Genomic DNA, 20,864 nt, shown 5'->3' with positions numbered 1-20,864 from the left:
GACATTTCAAAATGATAATGGAGTCAATTCACCAAGTGACATAATCCTAAATATGTATATCCTGATAACACAAAACTAAAACAATAATACATGCACGTGGTTTGGAATTCAAAACAAAAATATGAATTCTGATTGGCATATGAAGAGGGAATTGATCCATAGGAAGAACTCCTATAAACTGAGTTGCTGGGTGAAAGTGTATGTTTAAAGTTTGGCGAATATTGCCAAACTGCTCCCAAATGAAGTTATACCAAGTTATAACCAAGTTGAAGTTATACTAAGTAATTGCAGAAATTACTTTTGCACCAACCAACTATAAATTGCCATTAAAAGTAAGGCAAAAAAGTGGTCGGGGACAGTGGCTCACACCTGTAATCCCAGCACTCCATGAGGCCGAGGCGGGTGGATCACCTGAGGTCAGGAATTCGAGACCAGCCTGGCCAACGTGGTGAAATCCTGTCTCTACTAAAAATACAAAAATTAGCCAGCCTTGGTTGTAGTGCCTGTAATCCCAGCTACTGGGGAGACTGAGGCAGGAGGATCTCTTGAACCCAGGAGGCAGAAGTTGCAGCGCCTGTAATCCCAGCTACTGGGGAGACTGAGGCAGGAGGATCTCTTGAACCCAGGAGGCAGAAGTTGCAGCGCCTGTAATCCCAGCTACTGGGGAGACTGAGGCAGGAGGATCTCTTGAACCCAGGATGCGGAGGTTGTAGTGAGCCGAAATCACACCACCGCACTCCAGCCTGGGTGACAGAGCAAGACTCCATCTCAAAAATAAAAAATAAAAAAATAAAAATAAAAATAAAGTAAGGCAGAAACTACAATTACTTTTGCACCAATCTAATACTTCTCCAACAATAGGAGATGGAAAAGTACAAGAGCAACTGCTGTTAACAATAACCACCCCCCTGGCCGGGCACGGTGGCTTACCCCTGTAATCCCAGCACTTTGGGAGGCCGAGGCTGGTGGATCACAAGGTCACGAGACCGAGACCATCCTGGCCAACATGGTGAAACCCTGTCTCTATTAAAAGTATAAAAATTAGCCGGGCGTGGTGGCGGGCGCCTGTAGTCCCAGCTACTCGGGTGGTTGAGGCGGGAGAATCGCTTGAACCCGGGAGGCGGAGGTTGCAGTGAGCTGAGATCATGCCTTGCACTCCAGCCTGGGCAACAGAGCGAGACGCCATCTCAAAACAAAACAAAACAATAACCACCCCGATAAGAATAACAGCTAAGATTTTCTGAGCATGTACTGTGTGCCAGGCTAGAATAAACACGTGCCTATCTATCAACCTTTTACTCCTATGAGAGAGGTGCCCCGCTTCTTCCCCATTTCACAGAAGATTGCTGGGTAGAGGATTATAAAAAGCACTGTGGGTGCAGGGAGTCAGACATGCCAAGTTATGATTACCAAAATCCTGGAAATCTTTCCTTATACACATTTTCTATTTTTCCTGTGTCCTCAGGTAGCTAAAAATGAAGCATAGAGTGGCCCGTTCATCTTTCATCTTCCCCCTCTCTCGGGATTGCTTTGCTTTGCTTTACTATTTTGGCTCCTGAGACAAGAAGCTACATTCCAATAAAGCTTTCTTAATGGACACTGAAATGGGAATTTCATATCTTTTTATGCATCATAAAATATTCTTCTTTTGATTGTTTCTCAACCATTTAACCCAAATGAAGTGTTTTACCTTTGTGTATGTGTGTGTATGTGTGTGTGCACTACACACAAACTGAACACTGCGCCCCTCCCTTTCAAAGATCTTCAACCACCTCTGCACCCCTCCCCCTAACGGGCACCAGCTTAACTTTCCTTCCATTGTGAAAAGAAAATTCCATGAATGCAAAAGCTGAGACTTGTGAATTTCTTTTTTCTCCTCAAGGTGCTTACCTAAGGTGAGCTTTACGATTGAAATGCAAAGAGTCATCAAACACATCTCAGTCGCATTAGAGGAGATAAGCAGTTATCAGATGGTTTGACTGATTGGATGCCTAAGTACTAGGGGAAGGAAACCACTTTCAATATTGCACATTGCGGGGCTTATAACAAACTGTGTCTGGCCTGGCAGTTATCCTTGCTAACTTTTACTTTGGGTGTATTAATTTTTTATTTTTCTACCAGTAGCAGCCAACACAGGTTTTCGTTTTACAAATTAAAGGGCCGGAAAATCTTTCCACTTTGTTCCTGCCAAGGGAATCCCAGATCACTCCAGGTAATCCCCACAGTAATCAGAGTGGTCTGTTTTCTAAAATGAGGGTATGGGACAATATAAGGTTGTTTGTAGGTTTGCTTCCAAGATGCAAGCTTCCATTTCCAGAAATTCCAAAGAATTGAAAGCCATCGGTGAAAACTCCTGTAGACTTAGAGAGAAAAAAAAATCAAATCCCAACTGGTCCCAATGCATACAAATCATTTTTAATCAGTTTTTACTTTCTTTCTGAATAAAGACATTCTCAGAATTTGAAAAAGTGAGACCAAGGCAAGAGGATTGCTTGAGACCAGGAGTTCAAGACCAGCCTGGTCAACATAGCCTGATGCTCACTACAAAAAAAAAAAAAAAAAATTTTTTTTAAAGTCCATTCACTGGACAAGTTGTAATGTTCGCTATAATCATATAATCATAAAAATGACAAGGATTTAAAAGCCAGATTTCAATTTGTTGAGAAAGAGTTTAACAGGCCATGGGGGTGGAGGAGGCTGGAGAGGTTTCCTTCCAGTCTGTGCAGGGTAACTTGAAGGAAAATCCTGACTCCAATTATAAAGCAAGGACAAATCCTCGAATCCTTTCAATATATCCATCTTCCCTGGCCAAATTGTATTCTTTCTCCTTCCCTCCACCCCCTTTTGCATTTCCATCAACAATACGGCTATCGGCTGAGCCCCTTGGTCAGCAAATAAAGGCAGAGGGCGAAGTAAATTTGCTTCCCAGCAATTATTTTTGTGAGGTCATGGAGTGAAGCGTTAAAAGAATACTACCGTGGAGGGGAGTATTCAGTAACTGTATGATCTGTGCTGCAAAACTGACAAAAGAACTCAGCCAGTCTTTTACTTTCAGACCCACAGAAATCATTGACCACGGGGTCTTTGTTCCCTAAATTCATCTAAGAGGAATCTTTCACATGAACGCCCCTGCATGGAAGCTAATCCCCTCCGCCCTCGGCTTCCCGAAGAAAGTCCATTTGGTCATTTGCTCTGTGTCTACACCTGCAAATTATCAGGATAATTTTGATCTTAAGAAAATAAAAGAACAAATGGGTAGGGGGAGGGAAGGAAAGAAAAAATCCAGTAAGGTCTTTAGTATCTAGAGCAGGAATTAGCAAAGTCTTTCTGTAAAAGGGCAGGTGGTGAATATTTTCAGCTTTGCGGACCCTGTGGCTTCTGTGGCTGGACCACTCAACAACACGAAAGCAGCCCTGGGCAATACTTTTATATAAATTATGGTGGTGACTGTTCCAAAGAAGTTTTCTTTGTGGACACTGAAATTTGAATTTTATATAATTTTCATGTGTCATAAAATATTCTTCTTTTAATTGTTTCTTTTTTTTTTTTTTGAGACCGAGTCTCACCCCATCACCCTGGCTGGAGTGCAGTGGTGCGATCTTAGCTCACTGCAACCTCCGCCTCCCGGGTTCAAACAATTCTCCTGCCTCAGCCTCCTGAGTAGTTGGGACTACAGTGTGCACCACCATGCCCGGCTAATTTTTGTTATTTTTAGTAGAGATGGGTTTTCGCCATGTTGGCCAGGCTGGTCTCGCTCGAACCCCTGACCTCAGGTGATCCGCCTGCCTTGGCCTCCCAAAGTTCTGGGATTACAGGCATGAGCCACCTCATCTGGCCTTCTTTTGATTGTTTCTCATCCAATTAAAGAAATATATAAAAGCCATTCTGTTCACGGGCAGGCTTGGCCGGGACTGTGTCTTACAGAGCCTTGATCTAGAACAATCTAGCCTTAGAAATGCCTTTTGGTCTGAGTGTTGTGAATCCCGTTGAATGAGTCTCACAGGGAAGTGTGGGCACTTGAAAACCCAGCTGGGCAATGATTTCTGGATTTTAATATCCTATTCAAAATATTAGGAGGAATTCCAGGAATTCAAGCCAGGAAACTAGACACCATGCCACATACACTGAAGAGTCCTTATCAGGCTTTTAATTGCAAATTAACCCATCCAGATCCTGAGGAATTTAGCATTCTGGTCATACAGAGAAAACTGTCACCCCAGTGCCTTCCTGTAAACCATGTTTCTCAGCCTTAGTACTGCTGACATTTTGGGCCAAATACTTCTCTAGCGTGAAGCTGTCCTGTGTATTGTAGCATGTATAGCAGCATCCCTGGCCTCTACCCACTAGATGTCAGGTCCATCTTCCAAGCTGTGATAACTAGAAAGGTTTCCAGACATTGCCAAATGCCCCTTGGGAGGCAAAATCTTCTCCAGTTGAGAACCACTGATCTCAATCAGCTCCGTTAATGGAACTTTCTGTGACAATTGAAATGTTCTATATGGGAACTCTCCACTAGCCATTTGTCACATGTAGGTACTGAGCACTGGAAATATACTAGCATGCCTGGGGAGCTGGGTTTTTAACTTTATTTAACTTTCACTACTTTAAAGTTAAATTTAAATTGCCACATGTGGCTAGTGGCTACCATATTGGACAATGCTGCTCTAAGTCATGACCAAACCCACTACCACACAAAGAAGGGTGTGAGAAGAAGCACAGCCTTGTGTTAAGTACAAGGGCTTGGGAGTCAGACACCAAATTCTGTTATTCATTCGTTTATTCAGTCAACACATACTTATTGAGCATCTACTATGTGCCTGGCACTGTCCTGGGGATATATAGATGAACAGGAGCAATAAAGTCCCTGTTTTTATGAGGCTTTCATTTCTAGTGATGAGAACAAACCAAAATATAAATTGAAATAAAGTAATTGCAAGTCATGATCAGGGTTATCTGCCACAGAACAAGAGGGTTGGAAGAGTTCCTCCTTTAGAACAGACATTCAGGAAATGCCTCTCCAAAGCCTAGTGGACAGCTTAGATTTAAATATGTAGCTTAAAATGGCAATGTGAATTGCCTCACGAGGTCCACAATGCCTGCTCTTAATACATTTTGAGCTGAGCACAGTGTCTCACCCCTGTAGTCCCAGCAATTCAGGCGGCCAAGGCAGGAGGATCGCTTGAGCCCAAGAGTTTCAGACCATCTTGGGCAACACAGTGAGACCCCCAGCTCTAAAAATCAATAAACAGATAAAAGCCATGGCTGCAGCGTGTGGCTTCCTGACCCACTTGTTCCTTGAGAGCCCACAGCGGTGAGGCAGGATCAGGAGCAGGCAGACCACCGCTTCGCAGTACCTGTAACTGCATCTTCCTCAAAAAGCCCACCAATCTTCACAATGATTTTTACATCTACTGCAAAAATTTTACATTGTTACAGACAAGGGAAACTGAGGCACATAAGCTGGTTCAACATTGCACAGCTAGAATAGAGCTCAGATTAGAACCCAGGCAGCCAAATGGAAACTGGATCTACTATTATATTAACTATAGTGACTTATTTGAGTTTTCCAGAGCGCTCTGGAACCAAAAGCATGTTAGAATTGGTTTTTGTTGGGGTTTTTTTTTTTTTTTTTTTTTTTTGAGACAGATGCTCAGTCTGTCACCCAGGCTGGAGTGCAGTGGCGCGATCTCGGCTCACTGCAACTTCCACCTGCTGGGTTCCAGCAATTGTCCTGCCTCAGCCTCCCGAGTAGCTGGGACTACAGGCGTGTGCCACTATGCCCAGCTAATTTTTTGTATTTTTAGTAGAGACGGGGTTTCACCATGCTGGCCAGGCTGGTCTCAAACTCCTGACCTCATGATCCACCCAACTCAGCCTCCCAAAGTGCTGGGATTACAGGTGTGAGCCACCGCATCCAGCAGATTCTTTTTTTTTTTTTTCCCTTGAGACCGAGTTTCACTCTTGTTGCCCAGACTGGAGTGCGGTGGCGTGATCTCGACTCACCGCAACCTCTGCCTCCTGGCCTCCGCCTCCTGGGTTCAAGCAATTCTCCTGCCTCAGCCTTCCTGAGTAGCTGGGATTACAGGCATGCCTCACCACGCCCGGCTAATTTTGTATTTTTAGTAGAGACAGGGTTTCTCCATGTTGGTCAGGCTGGTCTCGAACTCCTGACCTCAGATGATCCGCCCGCCTCGGCCTCCCAAAGTGCTTGGATTACAGGCGTGAGCCACCGCGCCTGGCCCAGAATGGGTTTTTAAACAGCGAAACCAGCCAGGTGTGATGGCTCACGCCTGTAATCCTAGCACTTTGGGAGGCCAAAGCAGGCAGATTACTTGAGGTCAGGAGTTCAAAACCAGCCTGGCCAACATGGTGAAACTCCGTATCTACTAAAAATACAAAACTTAGCCAGGCGTGGTGGCGTACACCTGTAATTCCTAGTCACTCAGGAGGCTGAGGCATGAGAATGGCAGAATGACTTGAACCCGGGAAGCGGAGATTGCAGTGAGCCAAGATCATGCCACTGCACTCCAGCCTGTGCGACAGAGTGAAACTGTGTCTCAAAAATAAAAGAGTAAACAGCCATGTCTTAGGAACAAGAGAGAGGGAAATAATAAGATGGGCTCTCCTGTACGGAGGAAGAAGGACTTCTGCATTCTTCAACTCTTGGCTGAAATATCCTAGCCACAGAGAATCCCTCAATAATCAGTTGTGACTCATCTTGGGGGTGTGAAATCTCTGTCTCCCAAATGCTATGGAAAACACTCCCTTTCATTCATGATTCTTGGTGAAATCTGGGATTCTGGATCAGTTAGGAGACTCTCAGCTGCAAATCAGGAAAAATTTCGACTCTAACATTTCTCCAGCAATACTCGCACGGTTTTTCATCAGAATGAGGCTGGCTTTTCCAAATGCACTTATGCAATAATGGTCTTCAAAAGACAGTGATCCTCATTAATTGAGGCCTGCATATTTTCAAATTCACCTACTCACTGAAATTTATTTGTAACCCCCAAATTAGTGCTCCTGGTGCTCTTAAGGTCGTTTGCAGATGTGCACAGAGCAGTGCCCAACATGGACAAGAAAACACGCTACCTTCTAATTGCAGCTCTCATTCTATAAACAAGTGCCTTTTCTGGGTGTATTTATTTATTATTTTATTTTTATTTATTTTTTGAGACGAAGTCTTGCTGTGTCACCCAGGCTGGAGTGCAGTGGCGCGATCTCAGCTCACTGCAACTTCCGCCTCCTGGGTTCATCGTATTCTCCTGCCTTAGCTTCCTGAGTAGCTGGGACCACAGGCGCACGCCACCATGCCGGGCTAATTTTTGTATTTTTAATGGAGGCGGCATTTCACCATGTTGGCCAGGCTGGTCTCAAACTCCTGACCTCAAGTGATCTGCCTGCCTCAGCCTCCCAAAGTGCTGGGATTACAGGTGCGAGCCCCCGCACCTGGCCCACATTTTCTTTATCCATTAATCCAGTGGGCATTTTGGTTGCTTCTACATCTTGACTATTGTCAATAGTGCCGCAATGAACATGTTGCAAATCTCTCTCTGAGATCTTGTTTTCAATTCTTTTGGATATATACCCAGAAGTGGGATTGCCGAATCAGGTGATAGTTTTTTATGGTCATTAATTAATTTAATAATTAATTATTTTGAGATGAAGTTTTGCTCTGTCGCCCAAGCTGGGGTTGCAGTGGTGCGATCTCAGCTCACTGTAAACTCCCGGGTTCAAACAATTCTCCTGCCTCAGTCTCCAGAGTAGCTGGGATTACAGGCGCGCACCACCATTTCTGGCTAATTTTTGTATTTTTAGTAGATACGGGGTTTCACCATGTTGTCCAGGCTCAAACTCCTGACCTCAGGTGATCTGCCCGTCTCAGTGTCCCAAAGTGTTGAGATTACAGGTGTGAGCCACTGCGCCCAGCCATTTATTTTAAATTTTTTGAGGAACCACTATACTGTTTTCCATGGTGGCTACACCATTTTTCACTCCCACCAACAGTATCTAAGGGTACCAATTTCTTGCCAATATTTGTTTTCTGTTTTTGTGTTGTTTTGTTGTTTTGTTTTGTTTTTTGAGACAGAGTTTCGCTCTTGTTGCCCAGGCCGGAGTGCAGTGGCAGGATCTCGGCTCACTGCAACCTCTGCCTCCCAGGCTCAAGCAATTCTACCTGCTTCAGCCTCCTGAGTACCTGGGATTACAGGCACCCACCACCATGCCCAGCTAATTTTTGTATTTTTAGTGGAGACGGGGTTTCACCATGTTGGCCAGGCTGGTCTTGAACTCCTGACCTCCAGTGATCCGCCTTCCTTGGCCTCCCAAAGTGCTGGGATTATAGCCATGAGCCACTCCGCCCCGCCCCAGTATATTTCCTTCTAGAAGTTTTATAATCTCAGGTCTTATGTTTAGGTTTTTAATCTTTTTTACAATTATTATTTTTGTAGACATGTGGTCTTGCTGTGTTGCTCAGACTGGCCTCAAACTCCTGGCCTCAAGCAATCCTCCTGCCTGGGTCTCCCACAGTGAGGGGATTACAGGCGTGAGACACCACACAAAGCCCTGGTTCCTAATCCATTTTGAATTAATTTCTGTATATGGCACAAGAAGAAAAGGGTATGTCTTTAGTTCTTTTTGTGTAGATATCCAATTTTCCCAACACCATTTGTTGAAGAGACAATCCTTTTCCCCTTGTGTAGTTTTGGCACCCTTGTCAAAGATCATTGGCCCATATACCTGAAGGTTTATTTCTGGGCTCTCTATTCTGTGCCAGTGATCTACTTCTTCCCTTTTTACAGCTGAATAATATTCCGTTGTATAGGTAGAGCATATTTTGTTTATCAGTTCATCAGTCAATGGACATTTACGTTATTTCTACTTTTTGGAGTTTAGGAATAATGCTGCTATAAACATTTGTATACACATTTCTGTGTAGAGGGCCAGGCACAGTGGCTCCCAGCACTTTGGGAGGCCAAGGTGGGTAGACCTCTTGAGGCCAGGAGTCTCAGACCAGCCAGGCCAACATGGTGAAACCCCATGTCCACTAAAAATGCAAAAAAAAAAAAAAAAAAAAAAAAAAATTAGCCGTGTATGGTGGCACATGCCTGTAATCCCAGCTATTTGGGAGGCTGGGGCACGAGAATTGTGTGAACCCTGGAGGAAGAGGCTGCAGTGAACCAAGATCACACCACTGTTTTTCAGCCTGAGCAACAGAGCAAGACCCTGTCTAAAAAAAAAAACAAAACAAACAAACAAACAAAAAAAAACAGTTTCTTTGTAGACATATGTTTTTAATTCTCTCAAATATATACCTGGGAGTAGAACTTCTGGATCAAATGAAAATTATGTTTAATATTTTAAGAAACTACCAGATTTTTCAAAAGCAGCTGTACCACTTATACTCCCACCAACAATGTATGAGAGTTCCAATTTCTCTCCATCTTTGCCAACACTTGTTACTCTCCATATTTTTTATTATAGCCACCCTACAGGGTCTCAGGTGGCATCACATTGCAGTTATGATTTGCATTTCGCTAATGACTAATGATCCTCAGCATCTTTTCATGTACATTTTGGCCATTTGTATATGTACTTTGGGGAAATGTCTATTCCATTTTTTCCCCCGTGTTTTAATTGGATTTTTTGTCTTAAAAACAATGAATACAATTGTCAAGTGGTGAGAGTTGTTTTCATATTTTGGATACTTATCAGATATGTGACTTGTAAATACTTCATGGAAAAGTGTTAATCAAGGCAGTGAAATAATTGATCAGATTAGTGGCTTAGAAAAATGAATTGTACAGGCCGGGCATGGTGGCTCACACTTGGAATCCCTGCACTTTGGGAGGCCAAGGCGGGCGGACCAGAAGGTCAGGAGATCAAGACCATCCTGGCCAACATGGTGAAACCCCATCGCTACTAAAAATACAAAAATTAGCCGAGCATGGTGGTGCACACCTGTGGTACCAGCTACTCAGGAGGCTGAGGCAGGAGAATTGCTTGAACCCGGGAGGCGGAGGTTGCAGTGAGCTGAGATCGCGCCACTGCACTGCAGCCTGGGTGACGGAGTGAGACTCCATCTCAAAAAAAAAAGAAAAAAAGAAAAATGAATTGTACGGGTTTATTCATCATTTGCTGTTTCGCAAGAGATAAAGATGATAATGGTATCCATGGATGTTTTTGTATGTTCAGCTCATCAAATAGGAATGGTGCAGTTTTAAAGACGATCAGTGGTGGCCAGAATAATGATACATTTATAAATTACCACTATTTTAAGCATGTCACACATTTTAAACTTGTTTAATCTTTCTATAATTACACTTTTTTTTTTTTTCCCGAAGACAGAGTCTTGCTCTGTCACCCAGGATTGCGTACAGCAGTGCAATCTCAGCTCACTGCAACCTCTGCCTCCTAGGTTCAAGCAATTCTTCTGCCTCAGGCTCCCAAGTAGCTGGAATCACAGACATGCACCACCAGCCCGGCTAATTTTTGTATTTTTAGTAGAGATGGGGTTTCTCCATGTTGGCCATGCTAGTCTCAAACTCCTGGCCTCGCGTGATCCATCCATCTTGGCCTCTCAAAGTGCTGGAATTACAGGCATGAGCCACTGCACCCAGCCTGTAATTACTCTTAGCTATCCCATTTTAGAGATGCAGAAACTAAGGTATAGAGAATTTACATATCTTGTCCAAGGTACACAGCTAGTATGAACCGGAGCTCAATATTGAGCCCAGGCTCTGACTCCCGGGTCTGAGAACCTAAACACAGCACTACAGGGAGCCCAGGGTGCAGCTAGGCATCTGTCTTCTCATCTGACATCTCTATCTTAGTTTCTGACCCAAGGTAGACTCTCGGCCTCATCATTCTAAAATCACGTTATTTAATTAGTTGATTCCTAGAACCTTCTTCTGCTCAAAATTTCTGATGTCTTGGCCATATCTCTCTTAACTAGGCATTTACAGACAGCTTTACAAGTCGCAGTCAATCTCACTTACATCATCAAAAGGCAGCTTCACGTCGAATGACTTGGGGTACTGTTTTTGCAGTCATATGTTCCTAGGTTCATATCCCAGGTTTGCCACTTTCAGGCTGTGTGACCATGGGCAAGTCACTTAACCTCTCTGAGGCTCAAGAACCTCACCTGTGATGCTAATAACTGTTCACACTTTATAGGTTAGTCAAGTGACATAACACACATTCACAACACGTAGCTAAAAGTTTATACTTAATTAAATAACTGTCAATTATAATGAAAATAAATAGGCCAGGCATGGTGGCTCATGCCTGTAATCCCAGCACTTTGGGAGGCCGAGGTGGGCAAATCACAATGTCAGGAGTTCAAGACCAGCCTGGCCAACATGGTAAAACCCCGTCTCTACTAAAAATACAAAAATTAGCTAGGCATGATGGCACATGCCTGTAATCCCAGTTACTCAGGAGGCTGAGGCTGGAGAATTGCTTGAACCTGGGAGGCGGGGGTTTCAGTAAACCAAGATCCGCCACTGCACTCTAGCTTGGGTGACAGAGCAAGAATTCGTCTCAGAAAAAAAAAAAGAAGGGCCAGGCACGGTGGCTCACACCTGTAATCCCAGCACTTTGGGAGGCTGAGAAGGGTGGATTGCCTCAGCTCAGGAATTCCAGACCATCCTGGGCAACATGGTGAACCCTGTCTCTACTAAAATAGAAAAAAATTAGCCAGGTGTGGCAGTGTGCACCTGTAGTCCCAGCTACTCGGGAGGCTGAGGCAGGAGAATTGCTTGAACCCAGGAGGCGGAGGTTGCAGTGAACCGAGATCGCGCCATTGCACTCCAGCCTGGGCGACAGAGTGAGACTCCGTCTCAAAAAAAGGAAAAAGAAAATAAATACTAATTTAACAGTCCGGGCGGGATGGCTCATGCCTGTAATCCCAGCACTTTGGGAGGCCGAGGCGGGCGGATCACAAGGTCAGAAGTTCGAGACCAGCCTGACCAACATGGTGAAACCCTGAAACCCTGAAACCCTGTCTCTACTAAAAATACAAAAATTACCTGGGCGTGGTTGCATGCACCTATAATCCCAGCTACTCAAGGCAGGAGAATTGCTTGAACCCGGGAGGTGGAGATTGCAGTGAGGCAAGATTGCGCCACTGTACTCCAGCCTAGGTGGCAGAGTGAGACTCCGTCTCAAATAATAATAATTATTATTATAATAGTAATTTAACAATGCAGTGGCATATGTATTATCAGTTTCACTTTACTAATAAGGACATGTGGGGTCAGAAACAATGATTGATGGGCTCAAGATCACATTATTGCTAAGAACAGAACTTGAACCCTGACCCTCCAACACCAGGTTTTGTGGGTTTTTCCCCTACAATGCCTCCCCAGAGGACCTAGGAACAAAACATATACATTGCACATATAAATTATTTATTCGTTCAGAGGCTGGAAACAACATAAAATGTTGCATGATAAAATCTATAATTCCTACACTTTTTCAACTATGTCCACACAAGTGAAATATAAATATCTATTTTTCAAGTTAAATATAAATGATATTCAGTCAACAGGAACTATGAAAGCCAAATAGGGACTATGTGAAATGCTGATGTTAAAATTTAATAGCAATAGGCCAGGTGCAGTGGCTCACGCCTGTAATCCCAGCACTTTGGGAGGCTGAAGCAGGCAGATCACAAGGTCAGGAGATCGAGACCATCCTGGCTAACAAGGTGAAACCCCGTCTCTACTAAAAATACCAAAATTAGCCGGGCGTGGTGGCAGGCACCTGTAGTCCCAACTACTCGGGAAGCTAAGGCAGGAGAATGGTGTGAACCAGGGAGGCGGAGCTTGCAGTGAGCCGAGATTGCGCCACTGCACTCCAGCCTGGGCAATAGAGAGAGACTGTCTCAAAAAAAAAAAAAAATTAACAGCAATAAAGAAATAACCATCTAATAGTCAATTATAATATTTAATTGAATAAAGTCAGGAAGGGTCAATATATACCATGTCATATGTACTTTTCTTAAAAAAATAAAAAATAAAAAAGAGATCCCCAAATAAGAAGGATATAAAGTATAAAGGAAAGGGCCAGTCACCGTGGCTAATGTCTATAATCCCTGCACTTTGGGAGGCCAAGGTGAGTGGATCACTTCAGGTCAGGAGTTCGAGACCAGCCTGACCAGCATGGTGAAACCCCGTCTCTACTAAAAATACAAAATTAGCCGGGTGTGGTGATACATGCCTGTAATCCCAGCTACTGGGGAGGCTGAGGCAGGAGAATTGCTTGAACCTGGGAGGTGGAGGTCGCAGTGAGCTGAGATCGCACCATGGCACTCCAGCCTGGGCAACAAGATCAAAACTCCATCTCAAACAAAAACAAACAAACAAACAAAAAAGGATATAAAGGAAAGGATTAAATTATTTTCTTTATTCTTCAATTTACAGATTTCAAGATTAAACCTGAGATATTTGTCGCCATCACAAAGTCTGGTTTGTGGCGGTCGTTTTATTTTACTTGATTGAGAGGAACACTTATCATGAGATATACACTTTTAACAAATTTTGGGTTTTTTTTAAATGAAAAATAGAGGCAGGGTCTCACTATATTGCCGAGGCTGACCTCGAACTCCTGGGCTCAAGGAATCCTTCCGCCTTGGGCTCTTAAAGTGCTCGGATTACAGGTGTGACCCACCAAGGCTGGCCCTTCTTTTTTTTTTTTTTTTTTTTTTTTTTGAGACGGAGTTTCGCTCTTGTTGCCCAGGCTGGAGTGTAGTGGCGCGATCTCGGCTCACTACAACCTCCACCTCCTGGGTTCAAGCGATTCTCCTGCCTCAGCTTCCCGAGTAGCTGGGATTACAGGCATGCGCCACCACGCCTGGCTAATTTTTTTGTATTTTTAGTAGAGACGGGGTTTCTCCATGTTGGTTAGGCTGGTCTCGAACTCCTGACCTCAGGTGATGCGCCCGCCTTGGCCTCCCAAAGTGCTGGGATTACAGCCATGAGCCACTGCTCCCAGCCATACAAGGCTGGCCCTCTTAACAAATTTTTCAGTGTATAATCCACTGTCGTTGACTCTAGGTTAAATGTCATACAGCAGATCTCTAGAACTTATTCCTGTTGCTTAACTGAAACCTTATGCCCATTGATTATTGGCTGATTGGTAATTCCCTATTGCCCTCTCCCACAACCCCCTGGCAACCACCATTCCACACTTTGATTCTATGAATCTGGCTCTTTTAGATCCCTTATATAAGTGGCAGTATTTTTTTCTCAATGAAGTAGTATATCATTCTGGGGCTTAGGACACCCTCAGTCTTAATTGAAGTCTATTTCAGAAAGGATATGAACTTATGAGTAAAACATCACAGTATCAAGAAACTCCTCTTCTTGCAGAGAAGCAAAAGTGGTTTTTTTTGTTGTTGTTGTTGTTATGTTATTGTTTTTCCCCAGAACCATAACTGTTAAATTCCTCACCAGTAAGGAGAGAAATGTGAACACTTTCTAGAGCCACACCTTCAGTCCAAACTCAACGGAAACTCTAATTAATTTCAGGCAGGCTGGCCAGAGTTTCTCAGAGGTGAACAGCTTGGCAAGAAGAATCCTGGGCTGAACTTTACTTAATAAGGTTGAATTCAGATTGTGGTCGAAGCAGCTTGGGCGTGTAAATTGCAGGAAGTGCCCGAGAACTAAAGATGCTCCCTCTGAAGCGCTTGTGTCAGGAAGGGGTGGCATCAAGGATTATAAATTACCCTGTGGCTTTTCAGGGGTTTATGAGCTCCCAGGCCTCCTCCACAATAGGATGCAGGATGACTCTTAACACCTCATTAAGGATGTTTTTTACCAAATGCTGATAATAAAAAACAGCCCTAAAAGCCGGGCTCATTTTTATTCAGAATCCTCTCCTGTGAAATATAAAAAGATGTCATAAAATGTAAATACAATGGAGAGTCCCCATCTCGGGTGGACTCATTACAACGTTCATGTGGACAGATCCTGGGGAAGTCAAGGCTGGGTCCCTGCCATGGAAACTGCCTTTTTCTCCTGGCAAAGGTGCCTTCAGTTTCTGGAGAAAGGAAACGCCTGTGAGATTCATAATCCTTGCCTTGTTTCATCACCAACTGAAATCTTTTTTTGAGCTTTTCATTTCTGATCACATTACAACTTTGTCACTGGGGCCTTTCATGGCTAACCCTGAAACCCTTTTATTTATAGAATAGTGTAAAACTCGTTTTTGTTTGTTTGAGACAGAGTCTCACTCTGTCGCCAGGCTGGAGTGCAGTGGCATGAGCTTAGCTCACTGCAGCCTCCGCCTCCCAGGTTCAAGCGATTCTCCTGCCTCAGCCTCCGAAGTAGCTGGACTACAGGCGCCCGCCACCACGCCCAGCTAATTTTTGTATTTTTAGTAGAGATGGGGTTTCACCATGTTGGCCTGGATGGTCTCGGTCTCTTGACCTCATGATCCACCCTCCTCGGCCTCCCAAAGTGCTGGGATTACAGGTGTGAGCCACCACGCCCGGCCCATTTTATTTTTTTAGAAAGGGGCTGCCTGGGTGCAGTGGCTCATGCCTGTAATCTCAGCACTTTGTGAGGCTGAGGTGGCAGAGATAGCTTAAGCCCAGGAATTTGAACCCAGCCAGGGCAACATAGTGAGACCCTGTCTGTACAAAAAATTAAAAAATTAGCTGGGTGTGGTGTCACACGTATATAGTCCCAGCTACTTGGGAGCCTGAGGCGGGAGGATCACTTGAACCCAGGAGGTTGAGCCATGATCGCACCACTGCACTCCAGCCTGAGTGACAAAGGGAGACCCTGCCTACAAAAGAAAAAAGGTAAGCGAGAGCAAGTGCTGAAAAAGGGGATATATTTATAAAACCTGGAACAGTGAAAAAAGTTACTACATGTGGGCCGGGCACGGTGGCTCATGCCTGTAATCCCAGCACTTTAGGAGGCCAAGGCGGGCAGATCATGAGGTCAGGAGACTGAGACCATCCTGGCTAACACGGTGAAACCCTGTCTCTACTAAAAAAATACAAAAAAATTAGCTGGACATGGTGGTGGGCACCTGTAGTCCCAGCTACTTGGGAGGCGGAGGTAGGAGAATGGCATGAACCTGGGAGGAAGAGGTTGCAGTGAGCTGAGATTGCACTCCAGCCTGGGAGACAGAGTTGAGACTCTGTCTAAAAAAAAAAAAAAAAAGTTGCTACATGATGTAAGCCCTGGAAATTATTCTTGTTTCCAGAGATTCTGGTATGAGGCAATGTAATTCTAAGTTAAACTTGGACCACCCTGAATGGAAAACCTCAGTCACTGGCCAAGCTGTATGACTCTGGCATGAGACCTCTTCTCTCTGTCTCTTTTTTTTTTTTTTTTTTTTGAGACGGAGTCTTACTCTATCACCCAGGCTGGAGTGCAGTGGCACGATCTCGGCTCACCGCAAGCTCCGCCTCCCGGATTCACACCATTCTCCTGCCTCAGCCTCCGGAGTAGCTGGGACTACAGGTGCCCACCACCATGCCCAGCTAACTTTTTTGTATTTTTAGTAGAGAAGGGATTTCACCATGTTAACCAGGATGGTCTTGGTCTCCTGACCTCGTGATCCACCCGTCTTGGCCTCCCGAAGTGCTGGGATTACAGGCGTGAGCCACCGCCCCCAGCCCTCTCTGTCTCTTACTCTGTAAAATAAGACTGTGGGGAGTGGTACCTGCCTCTGGGGTCTACTCCAAGAATCAAATGAGATGATGCTGGCAATATACTTGGTGTGTTCATTGACAGAAAGCCCTCAATAAATGGTATTAATACTTAGTATTCATTCATTCATTCAACAAATATTTACTGGGCACCTATTTGTGCCCAGCACTGTTCTAGCATCACACAACAAGTTCATACCCTCTTGAACTGACCTTTCAGTAATCCTTCTCCAGGGCATAGGAAGGTAAAAGCAAGTGGGATCTAATCACTGCTCTACCCCTTGCTAGGCATGTGAGCCCCTCAAACTCTGGAGTGAAGGGTTCCCCAGGAGTTGCCACCCTTTTCTTGATTTAGACAAGAGTTTCTCAACCTCAGAGCTATTGGCATTTGGGGCCATGTAATTTCTTTTACTGGGGTAGAGGGAGGCCGTTCTGTGCAGTGTAGAATGTGGAGCAGCATCCCTGGCCTCTATTCACTAGATGCCAGCAGCAACCCCATCCCAGGTTGTGATGATCAAAAATGTGTCCAGATAGTGGCAAATGTGCATGGAGGGCAAACCCTCCCCTGCTTGAGAACCACTGGTCTAGATCAATCTCGCCAGCTCTCCACACCTCAGTTTCCTCATCTCTGGGCTGGGATAATAATCTTATCTATTTCGCAGATAATTGGACATGAGAAGTGGATGAAAACAGGCATTGCCTGGCACATAGTAATTCCTCAATAAAAGTGATCTGTTAGCCAATACTGAGGATTAGGGCAAAACTTTCTTGTGTCTATCTAATGAGAACTTTCCTGAAGCCAGTGTTTGGGGTATTTCCCTTTGGGTGCAGGTACTCTGAGCTCTGATATGCCCTGAATTTGGTGGGGAAATCTCACCCCATCCTATGCCTGGTGCTCCCAGGTGGCCAGACCAGCAGTACTGGGTTTGCATATAGCCACGGCCAATGTAGGTCTGTGAGTGATTTATGGACTTTCCTTCCAACTCGGCATTTGCCAGTGAAAGAGTCCAGATAGTTTTAGAAAATTAGACTTGACTTTTTAACGTGCAAATAAAGTTCAGCTGAAAGTCATTCTCCTACCCCGTTGGTTAACAATATAAGTATCTCCAATGACTCTTTTTGTGGGAAGCTTCTGGAACCCCAAAAATCCAAGGCAGATTAAGAAAGATGAAGGCCAGGTGCAGTGGCTCACACTGTAATCCCAGCACTTTGGGAGGCCAAGGCGGGTGGATCGCTTGAGTTCAGGAGTTTGAGACCAGCCTGGGCAATACGGCGAAATTCCGTCTCTACTAAAAATACAGGCTGGGCACGGTAGCTCACGCCTGTAATCCCAGCACTTTGGGAGGCTGAGGCGGGCAGATCACTTGAGGTCAGGAGTTTGAGACCAGCCTGGCCAACATGGTGAAACCCTATCTCTACTAAAAATACAAAAATTAGCCGGGTGTGGTGGCGGGCGCCTGGTAAGCTCAGGAGGCTAAGGCAGGAGGATCGCTTGAACCCAGGAGATGGAGGTTGCCGTGAACCAAGATTGTGCCACTGTACTCCTGGCCAATAGAGTGAGACTCCAACTCAAAAAAAATTACAAATAAAAATCCAAAAATTAGCCGAATGTGGTGGTGCACACCTGTAATCCCAGCTACTCTGGAGGCTAAGGCACAAGAATCGCTTGCACCCCGTAAGTGGAAGTTGCAGTGAGCCAAGATCGCACCACTGCCCTCCAGCCTGGGCAACAGAGCGAGACTCCATCTCAAAAAAAAAAAAAAAAAAAAGAAAGATAAGGAAGAATTAGAGGAGCAGTTCAGAGCATGAGCTATGGAGACACAGACACCATTTAAGGTGTGACCTTGGACAAGTCACTTTAGCTTTCTGAGCCTCGGTTTCTTCACCTGTCAAATGGGGATAATAATAACACCAAGCTCATTTGGTTGTTAAGATGAAACGAGACACGTCAGGTAAAGCACTGTCTTTGCCCAGCACCTGACACATTGCAGAGCCTCATAAATGGGAGCTAAATATGAACAAATGTTTTTGTCCTGTTGAGTCGCAGGCATTGCTTGCCCCCAAGGTACGGAGGAAATAGAGTGACCAGTTCATCCAGACTTGCTTGGGACTTTCCTGATCTCTTGTCCCAGGAAACCCTTTCATCTCAGACAAACAGGGACAGTTGGCCACCTGAAAGGATGACTTTGAAAGTGATTTTCGGCTGGGTGCAGTGGCTCACGCCTGTAATCCCAGCACTTTGAGAGGCCAATGTGGGCGGATCGTGAGGTCAAGAGATTGAGACCATCCTGGCCAATATGGTGAAACCCCATCTCTACTAAAAATACAAAAAATTAGCTGGGCATGGTGGCGGATGCCTGTAATCCCAGCTACTCGGGAGGCTGAGGCAGGAGAATCGCTTGAACCAGGGAGGTGGAGGTTGCAGTGAGCCAAGATCGCGCCACTGCACTCCAGCCTGGGTGACGGAGTGAGACTCTGTCTCAAAAAAAAAAAGAAAGTGATTTTCTGCTTCAGTGTCCTGGGCAGAGATGGCAGCAGGGTTAATCTGTGACTGGCTGGTGGTTTGGAAAAAGAGGCGAGTCCCTCTCCACATAGGCTGCTCCAAGAGAGAAGATGCTTTGTGAGTTTCCAGCGGAGGTTTACGAGCACTCTTCTTGAAGGTTTAATGGTCCTGGGTGATTTATCCTATCTGGAGAGTCATTGCTATAAGGAGAAACCTGCTCCCCAAGCTTCTGCTTTCCTTTACCACCAAACCTTTCATCTTCCCGAAGAATCAAGAGAATCGGCTCCAGCCCTCATAAATAACCTTATTACGGCCACACAAAGGCAGGGTCCCATCGGCCTGCAAGACTGGACTTCTCAAATAGTAGTTTCATAAACCAGTTTGACCAGAATGGGAGAATACTTAATAGGATCCACAGAGGGTGATTTAAATGGAGGAAAGACACAGCTGGAATTGGGTGCTGGGTCCCTGGAGTGATGAGCTTAGAATCACACACTAGGCACTCTCTGAAGTGCTGAAGTTACCCACTCGGTTACCTTTCCTGGATGTCTCTGAGTACTTAAAATACAAGAATGGCCCAAGGAATGGTGGCTCACACCTGTAATCCCAGCACTTTGGGAGGCTGGAGGCAGGAGGATCACTTGAGCCCAGGAGTTCCATACCAGCCTGGGCAACATAGTAAGATCCCATTTCTACAAAAAATAAAAAAAATTAGCTGAGTGTGGTGGCAGGTACCTGTAGTTCCAGCTACTTGGGAGACTGAGGTGGGAGGATCACTTGAGACCTGGAGGTCGAGGCTGAAGTGAGCTGTGATTGTGCCACTGTACTCCAACCTGGGCAACAGAGCAAGACCCTACCTCAATTTAAAAAACAAAAAAACAAAAAAACAAAAAAAACAAACAAGAATTCCTTCCCATGGTAAAAACCTTCTCACATGGTGGTGAACAAGAATAATATCTATATAAGGTTTTAATCCAGTACTGTCCATCAGAACTTTCCACATTGGTATAAATATTTTTAATCTGCATTATATAATACAATAGCAACTAGCCCAAAGTAACTGTTGGACCCTTGAAATAGTGGGCCCATGTGACTAAGGAACTGAATTTTTAATGTTATTTAATTTCAGTCAATTTAAATTTAAATAGCCACATATGGCTAGTGGCTACATATTGGACAGCATAGTTTTAAACTCATAAACAGATTTATAATAAAAGGTATTGTAAAGGCTGTACGTATAATTTCCTTTTCAGATCTCAAGAACATAAAGGAACCTTTATTTTTTATTTTTCTGCTTAGCTTTACCTTTAAAAATGTTTTTATTTCTAATTATTATGGATATGTAATCATTGTACATGTTTATGATAAAGGGAATTTTACCACCTATATCACAGTGGTGGCCCTATGTTCTTCTGATGTGTGCTGTTCACATCAGAGTTACCAACTGAGGCGGAGTTAGGTATGGTCCAGGTCACTGGAACCTTGTTTACTCTTTTCTTTTTGGACATGGTGGGTGTGGGGGTGGGGCACTTTACTTTATACCTGTGACAGTCCACAGAAAATTTGGATATTTAGGCTGGGCACAGTGGCTCACGCCTGTAATCCCAGCACTTTGGGAGGCCGAGGCAGGCGGATCACGAGGTCAGGAGATCGAGACCATCCTGGCTAACACAGTGAAACCCCGTCTCTACTAAA

At 44.6% G+C, this 20,864-nt stretch overlaps 2 annotated features.

Moving 5' to 3' along the window:
* Positions 3,276–3,776: an enhancer, noted in NCBI's record as "H3K4me1 hESC enhancer chr20:50504249-50504749 (GRCh37/hg19 assembly coordinates)". NCBI's record gives its function as "activates a minimal SCP1, AML or CMV promoter by ChIP-STARR-seq in primed H9 embryonic stem cells {active_cell/tissue: H9 hESC(primed)}" and the evidence as "EXISTENCE:reporter gene assay evidence [ECO:0000049][PMID:30033119]".
* Positions 3,777–4,277: an enhancer, noted in NCBI's record as "H3K4me1 hESC enhancer chr20:50503748-50504248 (GRCh37/hg19 assembly coordinates)". NCBI's record gives its function as "activates a minimal SCP1, AML or CMV promoter by ChIP-STARR-seq in primed H9 embryonic stem cells {active_cell/tissue: H9 hESC(primed)}" and the evidence as "EXISTENCE:reporter gene assay evidence [ECO:0000049][PMID:30033119]".

The sequence above is a fragment of the Homo sapiens genome, chromosome 20 (assembly GCF_000001405.40).
Source record: "Homo sapiens chromosome 20, GRCh38.p14 Primary Assembly".
In the NCBI taxonomy this organism is placed as follows: domain Eukaryota; kingdom Metazoa; phylum Chordata; class Mammalia; order Primates; family Hominidae; genus Homo; species Homo sapiens.
Note: the sequence above shows the minus strand (reverse complement) of the source record. Positions and strands in the feature narration are given on the sequence as shown.